This window comes from Homo sapiens, chromosome 8, assembly GCF_000001405.40.
Source record: "Homo sapiens chromosome 8, GRCh38.p14 Primary Assembly".
NCBI classification, from domain to species: Eukaryota; Metazoa; Chordata; class Mammalia; order Primates; family Hominidae; genus Homo; species Homo sapiens.
Window position 1 is genome coordinate 124,322,999 of NC_000008.11, and position 23,010 is coordinate 124,346,008.

Consider the following 23,010-nt stretch of genomic DNA (forward strand, 5'->3'; position numbering starts at 1 on the left):
TAAATAAATAAATAAATAAATAAATAAAAGAGACCAAGGGTAGAAATGTTTAGGGGTAACACTGAATTGCCAGAAAATCTTGTCTTAACGAAATCAATATAGCAGAGTATTGTTATCCAATAACTAATAATATAAAGTACCTAAAATTTTCAGAAAAAGTGCTACATGTACAAAACTAAGAATCAGAAGAATAGGATGAAGAAAATTAACAGATATCTCAATGAGTAAACTCATTCAAATAAATTACCCTCCTCTAAACTTAATCTACTGAAATGTTTTATAAGTGTACAATGAAATAATAACATTTACTACTGTTAAATACCTGCCATAGTTGAAATTCCCAAAATAATTCCAATAGACATTTCAATATGGGTTCCCTGAAATATGATAAAAAATTAATCTTAAAAATTAAAGCTGAAGTGACTATAAAAGAATAGCAAAGCATTAATAAAAACAGATACAAGTTAAATCAACATGTTAGTGCTGCAAAATTACATACATCATATATGCACATATAATATAGTAATTCATTAAATTATTAAATATATGCATTCATACAGAAATAACATCAATAACATTTTATTCATTCAAATTAGGCTTCTAAAAATAAAATTAGCAACACATGTAGAAATATAGTTCATCATTAAAAATCTAGAATTTCTATTTTTCTACCACAGAGAAAAATGCTTTAAAGCTCTTTGAAAACAAGACCGACTCACATTGATTTTAAATTCTGAACTATACATCTATACTATTGTTATTTACTCTATCAAAAGATTAAAAGGAGACTAAACCAGTTTCTAGGGAAATTGGGGTTTATAAAATTATCCTTATAACACTTAGCTCTTGAACCATTAAGTAGTGAAACTATACATTCAATTTATAAGCAGCAACGGCATTTAGTACAATAGATCTACACTCAAAACAAAGCCCCATCGTATCGCCACTGAATTTAATGACAGAGTTTAAGACTTTCTATATGTATATCATCATTCCTCTGAAGAAAAGAGGGGCTCATATTTTACTTTCATTTTAAAGAGGAGGAACTGAAGTGAAGACAATTAAACTATTCTAACAGAATAAAGAAGAAATCCTAGGATCTATTGTGCTAATTCAATTCTAATCCCTGAGCAATGCTGCCATTAGAAGACTTAATTTTCAAGAGTTCTCTTGAATACTGATGCTTGAACATTTCTAAAAAATGCTTCAAATCTCAATGATATTTGTGGAGGGAAAAAAACGCCCTGTATTTTACGTAGAAATAATGCATTACTCATCAATTATTTACAAAACTGAAAAGAGGTTTCCTCAAGTTTCTTTCCCCTAGAGCTTTTGGCTGCATCACTTTAAGATATAATTCTTGTCGAATATGGACCCAACAGTCTGATGCACTGAAGTTCAAAAGTCTTTTGTCCTGATGCACAAAGTTCAAATGACAAGGTTGTAAATATACCCCAAGAAACAGATTTCTGAAGAAGAAATAAAGAGGAAGAAAAGGTAAAAACAGGCAGAGAAAAAGAATAAACATATGTATCATCATATCTGAATGCAAAAAAACTGGAGCACCAATATAGAAGAGAGGCACCTGATAACAACAGTCTAATAAATATGGCATCTTTAACAGCAATGAATCGCTGGCAGTGGCCAAAGAAGAATCTCTTGCAATACATACATTTAAAAAATAGTTAAGTGCTTAATCATTTGGTTGAATGTAACACAGCTGAAGGTCCTTCTAACAGCAGGAAAAGCCCCATATAAAGTCAAAGATGGTTTGGGGGCAATGGACTATCCACTTCTTTACTGTGTCCCATAGTTACATCAAATTTTGTGTTAATAGGTGAGGTAGAAATTATAAATAAACCGAATACTAATAGTTGTCTTAAAGTTATACCTGGTTCATTATCCTTAATACAATTAATCTACTCTAGAATTCTAATAAATTCTATCCAATTAAACTGTAAGTAAAGTAACCCAAAACTAACCCTAAAATATAAGTTATAAAAAGCAATCCAATAATATAAAAATATTTTTTAAACTATGAAACAAAAGGCTTAATATGAACACCAACCAATATAAAGGCCAAATCTATTACAAGAGGTTACACACCTCTTTGTTTTTGTTTGAATTTGTTTTTACGACTACAACTAGGGTGGGAAAGTACACCTAACAGGAAGGAGGAAAACATCAAATGTCTATGGTATAAAAAAAAAGAAGAATCAACTATCTCCTCAACTTACTATCTTAAAACAGTCATAGCTGTCCCACAATGAGAGGGGTTGATCAGTATTTTTTTAATTAAAAGATGAAAAACATTCTTAAGATAATAATCACTTATTTCCCCTTTCATAGATTCTACAGTTACATTATTTATATGTTTTAGTCTCAGCATTCTATATAACGAAGCCTCACTGGAAAATTTTATTGTCTCTGAATGAGTTTGCAGCTATCACAGGATAATATTTTTGCCACACCTACTACTCTTAACTTGAAGTCAGTGGCTTAAACATTTATTTCAGTATTATTTAAATAAAAACTGATTTTCTGTGTTCTGGATGTGCTGGGGAAAAAAATAAGAAAAAATAAACAAAATGGCCCATAAGCCCCTGAAACTGGATTTCAATAGAAACAGAATAACAGGTATTACTAATTTGGAGTCAGCCATCTCAGGCCTGGAAAAATAGTGCACTCTTAGTTATACTAACAATGAGGCACAGACCTGGGGAACACCAAATAGTGAACTACAAATTACTACAATAATTTGACTCTAGAATGTGGGTGTTTGGTTTGGTAGCTGATCCCCATCAATCTGGACATAAGGCTAGACTATATAGCAAACAAAACCATTCTTGAATAAACCATGTTTACATAAATTTTATAATCTATACAATGTAAATTACTTTTAAAATTCCTACTTTGAAACCAAATCTTCTATTTATGTCCATTTGTAGTACACGTGATCTCCAAAACACCAAAAAGAAAACCTGCATCTCTCATGTATATTTTCCTCACATTCAACAATCCTAAGGTCATTCCACTTTTTCAGTAGTCTCCTACACTTTAGCTATCATTTACAAAATGTTTTTAAAAGTTAGAGTCAGTGAAACTGACAACAAACTCTCTAAGTCCTAACTGAGAAAAGTTTCTAGTTGTGAAGCACTTCGATTTTCTCAAACAAGTTTAAATAAAGACCCCACCTGGGAACTCATAAACTGGTATTCAAAGTATATGATATTTTTTTCTCCTCCCACTAAATGTACTGAAGATCTATTACCTTCAATCTAATGCTAATATCTGAAAAGAATGACTTCACATAAGGTATTCTAAAAATATGTATTGAAAGTTGATAATTGCCATAATAACTGGACTGTGATCAATCTATTTTACTTGGACAAAATAAGAGGAGTGAATAGTTTTTTGACTGATTATGGCATTTTCATAATATGTATATAAGAATAAAACTGGCCAATTTATGTATCTGTGAATGTGAGAAACTTATTCAACTATTTAGAACCACACTGCCTTCTCGGAAACTACTAAAATCTGAGTTGGCTAGATTATTTAAACAATTAATGTAAATCAAATCTAATTGTAATGAAAACCCCATTATGATAAATTCATAAGCTGTAGCTAACACTTGGTATGTTCTTGAAAACAGAGCACTGGGCAGTTTTTGAAGACTTGCATTTTAATTATGGATCTACTTCTGACTTTAGAATATGAACCTAATATTGGTATCCATTAGCAGGCCTTATATAGTAGTAAGAAAGGTAAGTCAGCCATCTCTGAGCTTAAACAGGTTTAAGGAGCACCCTTACATTAAAATACCACAACAAAGGGGAATTTTTTTTAACACTACAATGGAACAAGGCAAAAGGGAGATACAGTCACTTAATTGAATTGAAACTTTAAACAATGGCTAGACTGAAGGCTAGACTATGTATCAAAACATGCTTTAAAACATTTTCACATTGGAAAATTGAACAAGGAACTAAATCAAATAATTACCTATATATGTGATAATTGCCAACACCATTAAAGAACATCAGAACATTTTACATATTATTTTTCTTTATTAAGAATGTTGAAATTAGAATAGGACAATATAGGCCTTTAATGTTCTGTCTGAATGCTCTACCAAAAGTCTATTTGTCTAAATGCTTTACCTAAAGTCTTAATGATTAATAAATATTAAATATAGCTTAATTAAAATTGAGCTATAGTCTGAGATATAGTAAAAAATATCCTTGTTCATTATGATATTAAAACTTTATAATCACAATAGAAAAATTATTAGGAAAATGTAGACCACATTAATTTATGAACTCAAAATAGAAGCAGTGAGAGAAAGAACTTACAGCAACAATCATAATTGCATTATCCAAAAAGCCAAACCCTATGAAAGGTATCGCATTGTGGATGAATACTGAAAAACATCAAAAACAGAAAAATATATTTTAAGATTTCTATAACTTAGAATGACAAAAACAGATGATATGATCAAAGTATCCTAAACAGACTTGATAATCTCTAGAATTTGATTCTCATTTTCCAGAGCCAATAGATGCTGCTACTGCTATAAGTAGAAACTATATTGGGAAAAAACAAAACAAACCAGAAAAAGTATAAAACATGTAAAAATAACTGTGTTAGACTTTTGTGTTTTCTTACTGGTAACACACACACACACACACACACACACACACACACAAATATATACATACAATTAACAGAACAAATTAGTAAACATATATGAGTACCACATTTTACCTGATTGCTACTGACATTAATCTCTTTTTCTATTATGACTAAAGTCTGATATTATAAAATCGATTTCTGTATTAGAAATAATGAAAATGTCCTAAATCAAATGTCAGAAAAGTTATTTGGGTGCTTTTACTAACTAATTTTTTTAAAGAAATGTTAGAAAAAGGTGATTATCTCATCTATATTACCTCATCTATGTGCAGTCTTTTTCCCCCCTCAAAATTCATCAATATTCCCAAATGCTATTGCAAACTATAAACAATCAATATTTGATTTAAATCAAACTATCACTTCACCTCTTGCTACCAAAAACACACCTTACTTCATCTATTGGGTATATAAATTCAATGATCTGAGATATTAGAAGTGTAACTAGGTCACGCCTGTAATCCTAGCACTTTGGGAGGCTGAGGCGGGCGGATCATGAGGTCAAGAGATCGAGACCATCCTGGCCAATATGGTGAAACCCCATCACTACTAAAAATACAAAAATTAGCTGGGTGTGGTGGTGCGTGCCTGTAGTCCCAGCTACTTGGGAGGCTGAGGCAGGAGAATCACTTGAACCCAGGCAGCAGAGGTTGCAGTGAGCTAAGATTGCACCACTGAACTCTAGCCTGGCAACAGAGCAAGACTCCATCTTAAAAAAAAAAAAAAATTGTAACTAGGAAGAACTAATACCTACATATTTTTTATACATTTATTCTCATTTCTTTCATATTTACATCTTCAGCAGAATATTGAGGGCATGGTAGATGCTCAAAAAATATTATTTCATTAAGTTGAAGACCACTAACCTGGAAAGGAAGAGAATTCCAGATTGGGAGAATTGAAGGCAGACTGTGAAATAGATTAAAAGCTGGGAATAGGTAAAAGACTTTATTCTAATTAATCTATAAAATTGCCAAGGTATAGTGAACATCCGTTCAACTGAGGACTTTTCTCAACAAACATTAAAATGCTGAGTTTTGTACTACGTCCAAAAAAATAATCCCTTAAACCAACTGGTTATATGTGTCTATTAATTTTTAGAGTCTTTTTTTCTTTTAATGCAGTTATCTCCACAGAAAGTATAATTGAAATATAATCCAGAAGTTATAAAAATTCGATATTACTATATTGAGCTCTGCACCTAGCAGGAAAGGCTAATAAGCACTCAAAAAAAAGCACTTCTACCCACAACCACTATAAATGACTAAGACCACGGGACAATACTATATACAGTATAAGAATACTATTATATTCAATATTATTATAGCTATACAATATTATATAAACCAGTACATAATAGGTATAAAATAGGTCATTTAAAATTTCGTCTTGTTTTAAGTAAAAATGTCCAAGATCAAGGACAACATTTTTAATTACAAAGAATATTATTTGTTATTAAAGGTTGTAAAAATCAAGTAAAACATTAATAAAATGGGATTTTTTTTCAATTAAAGAGTCTAGCCTTAGTTTTTTCACTTATTGCCTAAATCTGGTTATTTACTGAACACTCAAAATTTTATAAAAAGCAGCTTCCAGAACCAATACACATTACAAATTTAACAGGTTAGAAGAGTATAATGAAATTCTAAAAAATCACTAAATAAAACATTTACAGTGAAGAGAAAGCTACTTAAGTACTGAAAAATAATGATGAAACTGGTTAGGATTAATTAGCATTTTGGGATTCTTTTAATAGCATCTCTAAAACTGGCCAGTTACAAATATCTTAAAATTAGGTGATAAGCCCATTAAGTTAAGATTACACTAATTGCTATCTTAGTAAAAACTTGGTCAGTAAAACCAAGGCACTCTGTTACAAACAATCACTTTGAACTATACGATGTATGTTTTTAGTGTTTATACCTATATAAATATGTCCTAAAAATTATAATTTATTTTAACTAAAAGGAAAAAATATAGTTTTTCAAAAAGTTAAATAAACATGTACAGAGCACTCCACTGGGCACCTGAGATACAAAGATAAATAAGACTTGGTTCCCAGCCCTAAAGGGGTTTAGGTATGATAACACAGCCATACAAACAGTAAATTTCAATACCACCTACAAAAAATGATAATAGTATACAGTATTATGAACTATAGATTGTATGAATCTAAGGTGGGAGAATCATAAATTACTTGGGAACACAAGTGTTAAAGAATTTTTAAATTGTTTTGGTATTTGAGGAAAGTTACTAATCTCTAATATAAATTACATTCTACCTGTCAGAGAAAAAATAACTGGCCATTAGGTTTTTTTAAAAATTATATAAATTTGCTCTCTAGTATATAATGATCTCCTACTAATTTGTGGCTTCTTCAATTTACTCTCAGAAACACTATTCTATAACTTGCCAGTTGTTAGCAAATCACGTTTCATATTTAGCTTTAATTTACAACCTACTCTAATTCACTATACTGTTAAATAATTCACTTCTTCCATCTTTATAATAACATCCCAACTTGTTTTACATTATTTTGGTATATTCTTGAATATTTATTCCTATCATAATAGAGAAAAGAAAGAACACTAGCAGCATTGTAATAAGGTCCTTCTTCACGTAGTTTTAAATAAACTTTATTCTTTTCATTCTTACAAACAGCCAGCCGGAAACATTTTCTCTACCAGAGAACAGTTGTATCTCGCCTTGGGCCTAGAAATTCTAGTTCTGCATTTACCCAACTTAAATTCAAACTAAAGTAAATACATCCTTTTTCCTAGAAATTAAGAAAACTTCTATCATAAAAATAATTCTATTTCTAAATGGCAACAATATTTTAATAATATTAGATATTTTTAACAATATTAGATATTTTACAATATTGTGTTACATCCTTAGCCAAGTTTATAAACTTTGTGCTTCATATAATGAACAGGATAATCCACTCTATCTGGAAAGATTTAATTTACTGACTCTTCTGTGCTATCAATGAATGATACAGTTATTTCAAGGCCAAAAGACAGATGAACATATATTTAACAATTATAGAACCATTACCATATCTCAGCTGTCCTGGGGTGGGTGGTGGAGCTTCCAATTTTTCTAAAGGGGAGAAAAAGGATGTGGGGCAAGAATTAGTTACTACAGCGTGATATTTTTTATTACAATGAAGAAAATACCAGAAGATTTACAACGTGGGAGAATATCAGAGTTTATTCATAAATTATCTTTAGGTTAAGGGACCACATTTGTCCATACAGAAAATATTAATCAGTATGGATTAAATCAGAAGGCCAGCAAATGAAACTGAGCTTAGTTACAAGCTTAACATGGACTCTAGCCCTGGGTAAGTTCATTTGTTTTTTGTTTTTCAGATTTCTTTAAAGTCCTTACATCTAGATAATGAGTCTGTTTGCATTAATTACACTAGAAAAACACTTTAGAAATAAAGGTACTCTTCTTTCAGATGGCAACCCTAGATGACTTAAGAAATACACAAACAAGCATCATTGATAGTGGAAAACATGAATATTCAAATAGATCTAGATATCTTTAAAATGAAGAAAATATTTTTAAAGCAATGTATGAAAACAATGACTTCACTGAATTGTATTTTGTTCCTTAATCTCTGTTGATATAACTGAATATTTTAACTTTTATAATATATTAATAGTATTATATAATATTGATATATATTAATTAATATATAAGATATATTATATTGATATATAATATAACTGAATATTTTAACTTTTGGAACCTATACACTGGATAATAGGGTATTCCATACATTAAAACAACTTTTAAAAGTAGGGTGTTGTTCAGAATCACAAGTAACAAAGTTTTCCCAAGTATAAGCCAGAGAGTATCTTTACGTGTCAACATTATACCTAAAAATTAACAATTATTACAGGCAGCAGCCTACCTGGTCTTATAACAATAAGCATCTCACCATTTGTTTAAGGTAAAAAGGTAGAAAATTCTACCTTCTTTATGATCAACCAACTGGACAGAATTAATTGTTATCATATAGAGAAGAACCCATAGAGTGGATCACTCTAAAGATTTAGTACAACCAGATTATCCAAAGAAACGCATTACAAACTAGATGTACATCTTCAAAAATATTTATTTATATTTTATAACAACAAAAGAACTAAGGAATTTAGTATAAAAAAGTAAAAGTCAAATCTCCATTGATAACCTACATAAAAGGAAATATGGTCCACATTAGTGACTGGTATTTTCCAAGTTCCATAATGGCTTTACAGTAAGAAATACACTAAAACCTCGAGTTTAATTAACTTTCATAGTATTTAGAAAGTTCTAAGAAGCAAACTTAAGCTTTATTTTTCCTTTTTTAGAAGAATTAAGAAATGAAGATATATATACTAATCTTACAGAATTTCACATCTGATTAAAATATATTCTTATTTTTGATTAGCATCATTAACTCAAAATCTCCTTTGAAAGCATCCAAGTGGTTTGCCAAATTTCTAACTAAGAATACAGGATACTGCTATACTCCAGAGAATTTTCTGGTGAAGTAAACATGCAAAAGTGGTTATTTACATACCAGAACTATTTGTTAGTTGCATTAGTCTCATCATCACTACAGTTCTGACACTGTGAGAAGTCCTTGTCAGTTGACTGGAACATCTTGAAATACCTAAAAATTCAACAAGCAGGACCTCCCCAGTAGAATGAGAGTATATGGAGTCCTTGCTTTTACTTCTTCAAATTCCCAACTCATTGAGTAAAACATTAAAAATATTCTACAACAGCGAAGAAGAAAAGATAAGGGCTAGGCAAGTAAAAAACGTGTAGTAATAAAGAAAAAAATCAAATAATGTAATCAATATTCCTTTCTTTCTTTCCTACTACACATAAAAAATTAAAAACCAGAGGCAATAACAAATGTTAAGAGAAAGAAATATAAAATAAAGGAGATACAACAGGGAGGAAAACTACTGGCACAGAGGTGAAAGTAAAATCAAAACACAGATTCTGCCTCCTGCTTCACAAAGAACCTACAGAGTACAAGAGGAATCATGAAAAGAACATTTCCTAGAAAGTGACAATCTTATTAGGAAGTATCTATTAATTTATTTTATATTATTATTATTTTTTTGAGATGGAGTCTCACTCTGTCTCTCCCAGGCTGAAGTGCAGTGGCGCGATCTCGGCTCACTGCAGCCTCCACCTCCCAGATTTAAGCGATTCTCCTGTTTCAGCCTCCCGAGTAGCTGGGACTACAGGTGTGTGCCACCACACCTGGCTAATTTTGTATTTTTAGTAGAGATGAGGTTTCACCATGTTGGCCAGGCTGGTCTCGAACTGACCTCAGGTGATCCACCCACCTCGGCCTCCCAAAGTGCTAGGATTACAGGCGTGAGCCACCATGCCCAGCCCAATTTTTTTTAAAATCAGAAGTTATTCTTTCTTATGTTAACTGAATCAAAACAAAACATACATCAGAAGTAAAAAAAAAAAAAATTACCTATAAAATACAAAACGGAACTTGTAAATCAGCCCAAGGTTTCAGTGATCTGTATGGGTTTTAAAATGTAATTACTGCCAGTATAACATCCCTGAAAATAGTCACAATACATCCCAGAAGGTTTATTTCCATATATATATATTTTATGAATTAATTTCAGAATTTTCTTTTGACATATAATAAACTATCTACACTTACATTGGAAATGTGTTCTGCTCCAATGTTTTATTAAATCAACTATGGAGTTAAAACAGTTCTTTCCATCTGTGTGTGTGTGTGCGTGTGTGTGTGTGTGTGTGTGTGTGTGTCTGTGTGTATTATATACATCATACTCTTTTCCTTTTCTGGATATTTTAAAACAATAAGATAACTATTAAGCTTGTACTTCACCATACCACATTTGCCATATTACTTTCCATAATGGCTGAGTAACCTCTTATCAGAGGAATTCTCCTGCATGGAACAACCACAAACTACAAACAAAAATACAACAAATTAACTACCTGAAAGCACTGGAAAATTATTGAAACCAGGTTGATCTAGAGGGGAATCAACACAGAAAAAGAAATGACACTAAGTGAGTTAGTTACCTGTTTGTTGCAGCTTTCAGCCTGTGGGCAGGCTCCAGTCACAACATGCAGAGCAACTAAAGCTCTGATGAAAATTCCTCAGTCTCTGTCTGAAGAACCAGAGGATGAGGTGCCAGGTAACCAAACAACTAGAAAGTGAGAGAGGAATCCTGGAAAGGATAGAGTCAGAAAGGAAGAGTCCTAAATTCTGTGCATACATTCAGTTCAAGTCTACAGCTGGCTTGTGGAACCACACATGTGCAGGGAAAACTCCAAAAATACCGACTAAGGGCAAAATAAGTAAAGATTTGAAGGCATCCCACAAGAGTTTGCAGTTTGAACCTAACCATTAAATGCCTGCTAAAACAAACAAAAATCAATGCTTTTCAGATGAACAAGACAGAATCCAGAGTCTCTACAATGTAGCAATTACAGGAATAACTAGGATACATACAAAATTACTTCACAAACAAGGAAAAAGAAAAATGTGACCCATTTTCAGAAGACAATACAGACCAATCCCAAAGTCACTCAAATGTTAGAATTAGCAGACAAAAACTTTAAAGGAGCAATTAAAATTGTATTCAAAGATGTAAATAAAAATATGCTTAAATGAATAAGACAGGAAATCTCATCAGAGAAACAGAAGAAAATATCGAAAAAAGAACCAATAAAAAGTTCTAGAACTGAAAGATACATTATCTGAAATTATAAAATTAGCTGGGGCTGGGCACGGTGGCTCACACCTGTAATCCCAGCATTTTGGGAGGCCAAGGTGGGTGGGTCACAAGGTCAGGAGTTTGAGACCAGCCTGACCAACATGGTGAAACCCCATCTGTACTAAAAATACAAAAATTAGCCAGGTATGGTAGGGGGTACCTATCATCCCAGCTACTCAGGAGGCTGCGGCAGGAGAATTGCTTGAACCTAGGAGGTGGAGGTTGCAGTGAGTCAAGATCACACTACTGCACTCCAGCCTGGGCGACAGAACAAGACTCCGTCTCAAAAAAAAAAAAAAAAAAAGAAAGAAAATTAAAAATTAAAAAAAAATTAACTGGATAGGCTTACAAGCAGAATGAAGGTGAGAGAAGAGTTAGTGAAAATGATGTCAGATCAATAAAAATTATTCAGTCTGAACAACAGAGACTGAAAGGATTGAAAAAATAATAAACCTGAGTCTCAGGGACCAATGGCTAAATATTAAAAGGGCTAATATATGCTAATATATGTATGATTGTAATTAAAAGGCAAGTAGAGAAACTAGGAACAAAAACTCTTTGAATAAATAATGGCTACAAATTTCCCAAATTTAGTGCAAGACAAAAATTTCAAAAGATTCAAGAAGTTCAGTGAACTTCTAGTGGAATAAACATGAAGGAAAATTATCATAAAGGAAAAAATCTTGAAAGCAGTCAGAACTAAATACATATTAAACACACAAAAAAATAACTTCAGTATGCAGAAAGAAAATGGGCGTCAGTCCAGTATTCTACATCCAAAAATGTATCCTTTAAGAATGAAGGCAAAATGTATTTCAGATAACTGAAGCTATAAGAATGTGTTAACAGTCAACCTGCGATACAGAAAGTGCAAGAGAAATTCTTTAGTCTGAAGGGAAATAGCAGTTGAAAAGTAAATTCTTGAGGAAGGAATAAAGAGCATCAGAAATGGTAAATGTCTGGGTAAATATAAAAGATTACTTTTTCCTAGTGATTTAATTTAAATAGACATGACTGTGTAATGCAAAAATTGTAACACTGTCTTATAGTGTTTATAAAATATGTAGATGAATACATATGACATCATAACATTAAGGATGAACGGGGCAGTAAATGGACTGATTTGGTAATTTAGTTGCAACATTTCTATGATGAAAATAAAATGGTCCAATATTAGCTATAAGAGTCTGCAAAAAGTTAAGAATACATGCTGTAATCCCTAGAGTAACTACACATACAGATGAAATACAAAGAGAACATAGTTAAGAACCTAATAAGTAACTTGAAGGAGAATCTGAAGGAATGTTCAATTAAGCAAAAAGAATGCAGGAAAGGAAAACAGAAACAAAAAACAGAGGGTCAAACAGAAAACAAATAGCAAAATAGTAAACTTATATCCAACCATATCAATAATTACATTCAATTTTAATGGACTAAACACTGCAATTAAAATGCAGAGACTACAAAAACGAACAAAAAAAGTAAGACCCAACTATATGATATCCCAAGGATTACAGTTTAATAGGTTGAAAGTAAATGGATGGCAAAAAATATGCTACACAAACAGTAGGCTTATAAAGGCTGGAGCTTTATTAATATCAGATGAGGTAGACTTAAAGACAAAGAGTATTACCAGAAATAAACCAGGGACATTTCAAAATGACAAAAGGGTCAATGCATCAGGAGGCATAACAACTGCATGTTTATGCCTAATAACAGAATTTCATAATGCACGATGCTGAATCTAACAGAATTAAAGGGCAAAACAAACACTTCCATAATCATACTTGGAGATATAAAAGCCTTTTTCTTAGTAATTGACAGAAAACTAGGCAAAAATATCACTAAGATATAAACTTGAACACTACCAACTATGTTGATCTAATTGATATTTATACAAAACGACACTCAACAACTGTAGAATACATCTTATTTTCAAGTGCAGATGGCACATTCCTCAAAATAGAACATATGCTGATCCACAAAACATGTTAATAAATTTGATTAAAATCATAAATATGTTCTCTGACTATAATGGAATCAGTAACAATAAGATATATGACAAAACAAATTTGGAAATTAAACATCTTCTAAATACATGGACCAAAGAGGAAATCAAAAAGGAAATTAGAAAATATTTCAAACTGAGTAACAATGAAAATGCAATATATCAAAATTTGTAGAATGCAGCTAAATGAATGCTTAGGGGGAAATTTACAGTTTGAAATACTTACATTAAAAAGAAGAAAGGTCTAAAATAAATAAACTACAGTTCCATCTTAAGAAGCTACAGAGCAAAGTAAACATAAACTAAGTAGTAGAAAGAAGCAATGAAACAGAAAGCAAACAATAAAGAGTCAAAATTGGTTCTTTGAAAAGATCAATAAAATTAATAAGACTCTAGCTATACTGATAGACAAAAAGAGAATAAGAATTACTCATATCAGGAATGAAAGAAGGGGCATCATTACAGATCCCACAGATATTAAAAAGAAAAGAGTATTATGAAAAACGTTACACCCAAAATTCAACAACATAGGTGAAATGGACAAATTCCTTGAAAAATATAACCTACCAAAACTAGCAGATTAAGCAAACAAAAATCTGACTAGCTCTAACAAAATTTATTTGTTACCAAAAAACTTTATATGTAAACACACACACACGCACACACACACACCCCTTCCAAACCTAGATGGTTTCATTGATGAATTTTGTTAAAACATTTAAAGAAAAAACATCAATCCTACAAACTCAAAAGCTCTTCCAAAAAATAGATGAGGAAATAATTTTCAACTCATTTAATGAGGACAGAACAACATTAAAAACAAAGCCTAACCAAGAAATTTACAAAGAAGAGAAAACCAGATGACTATTCCTCATGAACACAGAACAAAAAGCCTTAATGGCATAATAAATATTCTGCTTTCCGAAGTATAAGAGTTTATTCATAATAGTGGCAAAAATAACCAACATCCAAACTTCTTTACATGTCCTCTTTCTTAGACATTTTCCAATGAAGGAAAAGTTGCTCTTAATAGGATTCCATGTGAAGAAATACATAGGATAGAAAAATTATCTACAAGAATCCATGAGATAATATTTACATATAAATTTCTTTCCTTTAGATTTCACATTTTAAAGTCTTTGCTAAAGGTTAAATAAGATAAGACAGTTACTATAAACTGCTGATTTATGCTGTAGTAAGTCAAATGAAAATTGTTTGAAATGAGACTCTCCAATCTGTTCATGAGGAAGTAGAGTTTTAAGAAGTCAACAAAGCCTTTTCCTTTGACTCCGCATTTTAGTCAAAACTGATTGTTATAATAGGGGTTTGACTGCAAATATTTTACATTAAACAAGCCATTTTTATATAAAAGTATTACATTCTTATACTCATAGTTGCATATGTTAAAAGGATGAGGATATTGAGTTTGTTTTTTATTAAAAGGAATTTTGAGGTAAAAATTAGAAAATAACATCTAAAATACTTAATTTATTTGGTTTATTTTTCATTATAAAGATTATATAATTATAGAAAGTTAATGAGATTCAGAAAAGCGAAAAGAAACTTAAAAGCATCCACAGTTTATCAGAAATAAATGTTTTGACGTATTGTCCTTCAATCTTTTTCCTATAAAGATATATACACAAAACTGTATTCTGCCTTTTCCACAAAGCATTAAATAATGAATATTTCCCACATCTTTAAATTTTTTAAGAAAATAATTTTATTTGTGAAAGTGTATTTAATGATATAGTCATTTCATTAATAGCCTATTATTAGATATTTGTTACTTTTCATACTTTCAAATAACATTAATTTGTACCTAAATTATTTTGCACTGCTCTGAAAATTCCTTAGAATAGATTCCTATAAGTGGCATTACTGAACCAAAGAGTGAGAAAGAGCAACAGCAAGAGAGAATATATGTAAGGGTGGTTTTTTTTTATTTCTGCAAAATTCATCGCAGACAAAGTATGTCAAGTTACCCCCATCTCACTGCATTTTTATTTTTTTAATGTTACACTCATATTTTCATGTTTTCAGAATGCAGGCAAAATGTCATTAAGACAAAATCCTTAAAAGAAAGTTCCAAGCAACAATTTCAAACTTATTTTAATTGACAACAAGATTCCAATACATAGAACAAAACAAGTCTGAATGTTCACTATAAGATTTAACCTGTATATCTCCTCTTTATTATACTTCCCTTTAAAAATAACTTCTTTATAAAAAACCTTCAGTCCAATATTAACAAAAGCATCTAAAATACTTTTTAGGATAAACTATGCCTGATATATTTCTTTTTTAAATAAGTTATGCTACTGTCAAATTAAATTTGGCCTAAAGCTGCCTGAGTACACAGTGAATTGTAAGCTGATACAGTATGTAAACCAACTGCAACCCACCTTAAGAATATATTCTTGGCCAGGCCTGGTGGCTCACGCCTGTAATCCCAGCACTCTGGGAGGCCAAGGCGGGTGGATCACAAGGTCAGGAGTTCCAGACCAGCCTGGCCAATATGGTGAAACCCCGTCTCTACTAAAAATACAAAAATTAGCTGGGCGTGGTGGCAGGCGCCTGTAGTCCCAGCTACTCAGGAGGCTGCGGCAGGTGAATCACTTGAACCTCAGAGGCAGAGCTTGCGGCAGTGAGCCCAGATCGCACCACTGTACTCCAGCCTGGGCAACAGAGCAAGACTCTGTCTCAAAAAAAAAAAAAAAAAAAAAAAAAAAAAAAATATATATATATATATATATATATATAAAATATTCTTGCAACAAGTAGCTGAATCTTGGCCAATCACAGCAGCTGAGCTTTCAGCCAATTACAGGCTGCAAACTGCTCACACATGTCCAAACAAGACAGACACAAGCTATAGCAAAAAAGTTATTTCTGTATATAATTTCCTTTTTCTATCTATAAATACTGTCTGCCCACATTGCTGGATGAAGCTCTCTGAACCTTTTAAGGTTCAGAGTGCTGCCCAATTCATGAGTTATTTCTTTGCCCAAATAAACTTTGTTATATTTAATCTGTCTAATGTTTTTCTTTTAGCAATTTGGCATCAAAAGTGAGATCTGAAGTATACCTCCAGGAGCACCAAGTGTCCAAGCAAAGGGCCAGAGCCAATTGTGCACATTGATCCCTCTGATTTGAGCAGCATGAATTTGAGTTTTGAGCTCACTGACTTTATTTGAGCATTTTTTACTAGATGGGATTCAGGATTGGATTGGATTGGATCCAGTTGGAGGACTCAGGTAGGTACCTTTTCAAAGTGGTTTCCCCTAAATCTAAAGAGTCTGGGACTCCACCTTCTGGGACACTGGCTAACTTTATAGAGAAAAATTACAGGCCCAGAACCTGTGTATTTTTGGAAAAAAAAAATGTCCTTAATCTTACTAAGGACAACTTAGAATTACAGTGGCCACAATAGGGAAGTTTTAACCTAGATTAAATTGCTCACTTGTGAGGTGTATCAGAAAAGAAAGGATCCCAATGCCACAAAAGCAATGGGATGCATTCTTTAACTGGCAAGCAGAGGCATTTAAAAAATAAATCAAAGACGGCCTCTTCAAAAGCTTCTTTACAGAAGGCAAGTAAAAACATCTTAAAGTCTTTTTCACAAATATCATTCAAAAGTTGTAGCTATCTGGGCAGGAAATATTCCACTGGCCAGAAAAACAATTTGGATCCATGTATTCTTTAATAAATTCATGAGTGTTGTATTATTGTATGTGGAACATGGCTAAAAGTTTTAAATGAAAGGTGTAAGATCTGTTTCTGTTTATATATGTCTGCATCTATGATGTATATCTATATATGTGTGATATTTTCTATTTCCTTATGATATTGCCAAATTAAAGTGTATAAGAATGCTATCTATTTGACTTAAAGAAAAATAAGCACTTAGATAAATGAAGTATTTGCTCAGAAAAATAGGAAATGACCCAAATGATTTTTGAAGCTCACACGACTTGGGTAATCTTTGGCAAATAAGAATATTATTGGTTTGATTAAAACAGACATATCTTCACAGTCATTAACATTAAAATTAACACAGATACATGACTTTTCCTACCTAGGTTTACTGGTGAAATAAACTTATGTTATCTCTACATTACAAAATTCATCAGCAAGAAAAGTAACTTAAGATGATGACTAGCTGTTTGATGTCCCATCTTGCTAAGCAATCCAAGCATAATTATTAAAAACGAGTGAGTTAAATAGAGATAAAAGTCCCATGTGAACGATGTCTTCCCTATACCAGAAGGTTTTAACATTCTTATCATCAAGAATGGAAATTTAAGGCTGAGAAAAATGTGCACAAATAGGCCTAGCCAAAAATCCAAAGAAGATAGATAACATTTTGCTTCTTCTACAGTTTCTTATTACAGAGACTAAAGATACTTGGGGCCATTAGTAAACATGTTCTGTGCCACACTGACAAACTGTGCTATGAGAAAGTACACGCTTCCAGATATTATGATTCATAGATTTGCAAATCTTCACATGGCTGGTGTGACAAATAGTTCACAATTATTTGCTTCCTAGTGTCCTTTGGAAATTAAAGTCATTAAGAGTTCAGAATTCTAATTAATATATATACTAAAATTACTAGAAATAAGAGAAATAATTTTATATAAAGTATAAAAGAAAAGTAATACATGATTTTGGTAAGCAAAAGCTATAAAGTATGAGGCTGTTTTGTTTCATTAAGGGAAAAATGTAATTTTTGTTTGAAAGTAGAATGACTGGTCATCCCAAGATGAGAACAGGAAAAGTATAAAACAAAATCTAAATGCAGAAGAAAGTTGTAGGTTTGCAAAGGACGAATCTTGTAAAAAGAATTTTATGTGTGACAAAGCCAGCTAAGATTAGAAGGGAATTATTTATCAGTTTTTCTAAAAACTGAGCATTAATACCAAAAGTATACTAATACAAAATTAGAATTTGGTTCCCTGTGTTAAAACAGTAAGAATTTCTTGGACTACTGGTCTACTTTTAATAGGAAATTGTGAAAAGTTTTTCTTTACCTTTTAGGTAATTGATCTAGGAAACAGATTCTGTGTTTTACCAAAGTAATTTCTTGTGGTCCATGTTGCTTTTATTGGGTGTTTGACCACTTAAGAAAACAAAATATTCTCTATTAAAATTTAGAGCTAAGTTTTCTCTACAACTATGTAGCTTTCTGTATTTACCTTTGAAGTCTAGTCTTGTAATTTTCACTTTTGTTAAATGAATGACTACTGTTCACAGTGACCTGTAACCCTATTTTAATCACGGATTTTAAACATTTGATATTTTTAACACATTTCCCAAACTTAGATTCTTAATAAAGTTTTTTTTTTTGACCTCAACTTTGATTTTCCGGTCAAGCCCTTGAAACATCTCGTATATAAGCATTCAAAAGAATGCTTCTCCTTATATAAAAAGACAGATATTAAACTAACTGGGCTTATTTGACATATTAAATTATATGAGAAGTATTGCCAAATAAGTAATGCTAAACTTTGAGTTTCATTTGTATGGATGTGTTTCAGAAACTGTATGAAATTCATAGCAATCTGATGGTTCTGGTATAATACAATCAGTCATCATTCTAGTTATTATATTCAAATGCTGTATGCAACAGAAATAATCAAATTTCCCTGTCAACTGTATCATCACTGTAATGAACTCTCATCAGATATTTAATCATGGCCATTGTAAGTTTTATCATTCATATTTGGTTATTTACTCTTGTACTTTCCTGAGCAACTATAAGCCTAAAGGGTTACATCTTCAAGGAGATTCATGTAAAGAACTCTGAGAAGTACAAGTTTCTGATAACTTTAAGATCATACCATTGGACTGAGTCCAAGAACTCTAAGGAAGAAACTCATTGGTTCATAAAACTGCTAACCCAACATAAAGCAGAACAAGAATTAATTAAATACTAAGGAAATGCCTTGGCAGATTTTCACAGTAGTTCAGCCAGTACTGAAATTGTTAAGATATGCAATTTGAACGAACTCTATGAGATTAATCCAAGTCAAATTATCTATGATAACCTATATAATAAACAAGTGCTATGCACCTGAATTAGATAAATAAAATTGTTATTTAAAAGGATATAAATCCAATGTTAAGCATGGGCTCATGGAAAGCCTGGACAGCTGCCTGGTCATTCCTGACTCCTGAAAACTTCCATTATTAAAAGCTCTGCACTCCAAGACTCATCACAGAAGAGATAAAATGATCCAAATTACAGGGAAAAATTGTTCGAGTGACTGTTCTAAGATTGCTAAAGTGGTTTATAACTAATGTTTGGTTTGGCAAACCCATAATTCTGGTAAGATAATAAAAAACCTCAGGTAATACATTTCTAGCACCTAATGAATCATTTGACCACTTACAGATGAATTTCATTCAATTACCACATTTAACATAGGTTTTATGATTATATAGAAGCTTTCTGATTGCACATAAGGCCGATGCTGTAAGAGCAATTAAAAGGTTATTAGAAAATATGTTTCTTTTATAGGGTATTTCTGGAGAAATCTCCAGTGATAAAGTTACTCATTTCAATGGACAAATTGTAAAACAATTAAATAAGGTATTACAAACACAATGGCATTAAACAAAGCTCACTTCAATGGACAAGTTGTAAAACAAATAAGGTTCTACAAACACAATGGCATTAAACAAAGCTAACTGAATTGACTTGATGGCCTTGGTCAAAGGTATTACCAATTGATGGCAATCAGATCCACTCCACTAGAAAACATAGATTGACCCCTTATATAACAGTTACTGGAAGTCCTATGTCCCTGATAATAGAACCTCATGTATCTACCACTCTTATAAACTCTGACTTGATTCAGTATTGAGAGGTTTAAATGCAAGATGCCAAAGTATATTATCATCAGGTAAAAGAAGCCCTTCATGACCCACCAACTGATGACAATCAGACCTTTCACTATCTAGAACCAGGAGTTTAGGTCTTTTGAAAAAGACCTAGAATGACTGCCCTTGAATTCTGTTGGAAAAAACAATACCAACATGTTCTCTGCAGTAAAATTTCAGGACCTCGAGTCTTTGATCCACATCTCTTAACTCAAGAGGGCCTCTCTAGACTCTTCAGACTGTATACCAATCAGAGACCTCAAGGTAAGGCTGACCAGGAAAGCTATTTATTTTACCCAGAAGCAGATGGCATCCTGGATGTGAACAGCTTTCCCAAGATTACAAATCAAGACTTCTCTGTCACTATGAAACCTGTGCCTCTTTTCCTCTTTGGCCTGTGTTCCTTTTCTGTTTATATATGGCAAGATAATGTGATAATTAAGATTTCATAACCAACATCTTCTGCAATTGAATGTTAGATATGTCATGTTACTAACAGTAGGCAAAACCTATAGTGAGGGTTTTGCAGTTAAATTACGCCAGAAATTGTATAAGAAAACCAGAGGAAGACGATTTGACAGTTTATAGGCAAATGTGTAACCCTAATTCCTTGTCAGTAGCCTCCAACCTTGCAATGATTCCAATAATGGAGCCTTAGACAAATATTGCTAGTGCTTCTCTAATAGTGGCCTCTAATGTACAAAGCATTTCATAAGGAACTGCCTGTTGTGCACCTCCAAGATACATTTTTATCTGTGGAGGATTTTATGATCAACCACATATGTGGGTAACTCCATGTATCAATAAGTGGAAAATAAGGAACCAATGTGGTTTAGGGATTCTAATGGTATCACTGTCACTCCATAACCAACTGGAAAATGAACATTGGTCTATACCTCTTAATTTGCACTATAAAATAAAGGGGAATTTGCCAGCAGGTGTAAATCACTCTAAATAGGCATTTTTATTTTTATTTTTTCTGGTAAAATACTCCTTCCCTGGCTTGGCATAAATGTAAATGAGGTTATGATTAGAAATTTGTCTCAAACATTAGCTACTACAGCTGACTCTACTGCAAAGGCTATAGCTGCCCAGCAAACTTCTTCAAATTCTCTTGCTAAAACTGTTTCAGACAGCATCATTCCTTTGGACTCTGCTGTCTGAACAAAGAAGACTGCATGCAATAGCTAACACCTCCTGCTGCACTTGCATAAATATATCTGGTATGATAGAAAGTCAGTTGCCAGAAATCATTAAGTAAGCTACTTTGTTAAAACAAGTAGATTCTTCTTTTGGCTCATTTTTTATATATTTGATTTTGATTGGTTCAATTGACAGGAGCTCCTGTTAAGAAGTATACTTCAGTCTCTTAGTATTATCCTCCTGATAGCCATAATAGTCTCCCTGGTACACCATATCCTCTCTAGAGTATTAAGTGCTCATGTATAGCCATACAATATATATCAAATGGCCTCGCTATGGTTAGAACAATAAAAACATGAAGAGAACATAAACGTTCAGCTTACCTGACATTAACAATTGTGAATTCCATAGAGACCAAGCAAGTCTGTTATGATGGTGAGTGACAAAGAATGGTGTCAATGCCCAAAATTTTGGTCAATCTCTCAAAATTGAGAGACTGATCAAAAGGGGGAAATTGTTAAATTAAATTTGGCCTAGAGCTGCCTCCATATGTAGCAAACTGCAATCTAATTTCATATGTAAACACACTGCAACCTACCTCAAAGTATATTCTTGTAACAAGTAGCTGAGCTTTGGCCAATCATAGGAGCTGACCTTTCAGCCAATGACAGGCTGCAAACTGCTCAGACATGTCCAAATAAGGAAAACACCAACTTGTAAACAAAAGGCTGTTTCTGTATAGCACTTCTATCTGTCTATAAATACTGCCTGCCCATGTGTTGCTGGGAGGAACTCTCTAAACCTGTGCTGGTTTGTCACCAGTAAGCATTCAGAGAGCTGCCCAACACGTGAGTTGTCTCTTTGTTCAAATGAATCCTGCTAACTTTAATTTTTCTAAAGATTATCTTTTAACACTACTAAGAGATACATCCTAAATTGAAAAGCAATAGATTTTAGTAAAAGAAATGTGCAACACCTATAGTTTCTACATTTTAGCCTCCATCATAAAATTACAAAACATGTTTACAACAATGGTGATGCTGTAACACAGAAACAGGGCTAATGGCATATAGAGTGAGCTCTATTATTTAATAGAAACTATAATTTGTCATTTTCATGTTGAATGTTCCATTAAATTTAACATTACCGTATTAATCCATTCTTACACTGCTATAAAGATACTACCTGAGACTGGGTAATTTATAAAGAAAGGAGGTTTATTATTTATTTATTTATTTATTTATTTTGAGATGGAGTCTCGTTCTGTCACCCAGGCTGGAGTGCAATGGTGCAATCTCGGCTCACTGCAACCTCCACCTCCCAGGTTTAAGTGATTCTTCTGCCTCAGCCTCCAGAGTAGCTGGGATTACAGGCACATGCCACCATGCCTAGCTAATTTTTGTATATTTTTTAGCAGAGACAGGGTTTCACCATGTTGGTCAGGCTTGTCTGGAACTCCTGACCTCGTGATCCGTCTGCCTCGGCCTCCCATAG

General features: G+C 32.4%; 1 protein-coding gene across 1 annotated transcript in view, besides 1 other annotated feature; it reads right to left on the reverse strand.

Moving 5' to 3' along the window:
* The window catches only part of TMEM65 (transmembrane protein 65), a 66,513-nt gene that overhangs the window by 16,810 nt on the left and 26,693 nt on the right, over positions 1-23,010 (reverse strand). The window contains exons 2-4 of the mRNA NM_194291.3: positions 7,750-7,794; positions 4,356-4,423; positions 323-377 (exon numbers count right to left, since the gene is read on the reverse strand). Of these exons, the coding sequence (NP_919267.2) occupies positions 323-377; positions 4,356-4,423; positions 7,750-7,794 (168 nt within the window). The remainder of the gene's footprint in view (positions 1-322; positions 378-4,355; positions 4,424-7,749; positions 7,795-23,010) is intronic.
* Positions 17,627-17,827: a silencer, noted in NCBI's record as "peak7161 fragment used in MPRA reporter construct". NCBI's record gives its function as "represses an SCP1 promoter by STARR-seq MPRAs in K562 erythroleukemia cells {active_cell/tissue: K562}" and the evidence as "EXISTENCE:reporter gene assay evidence [ECO:0000049][PMID:32103011]".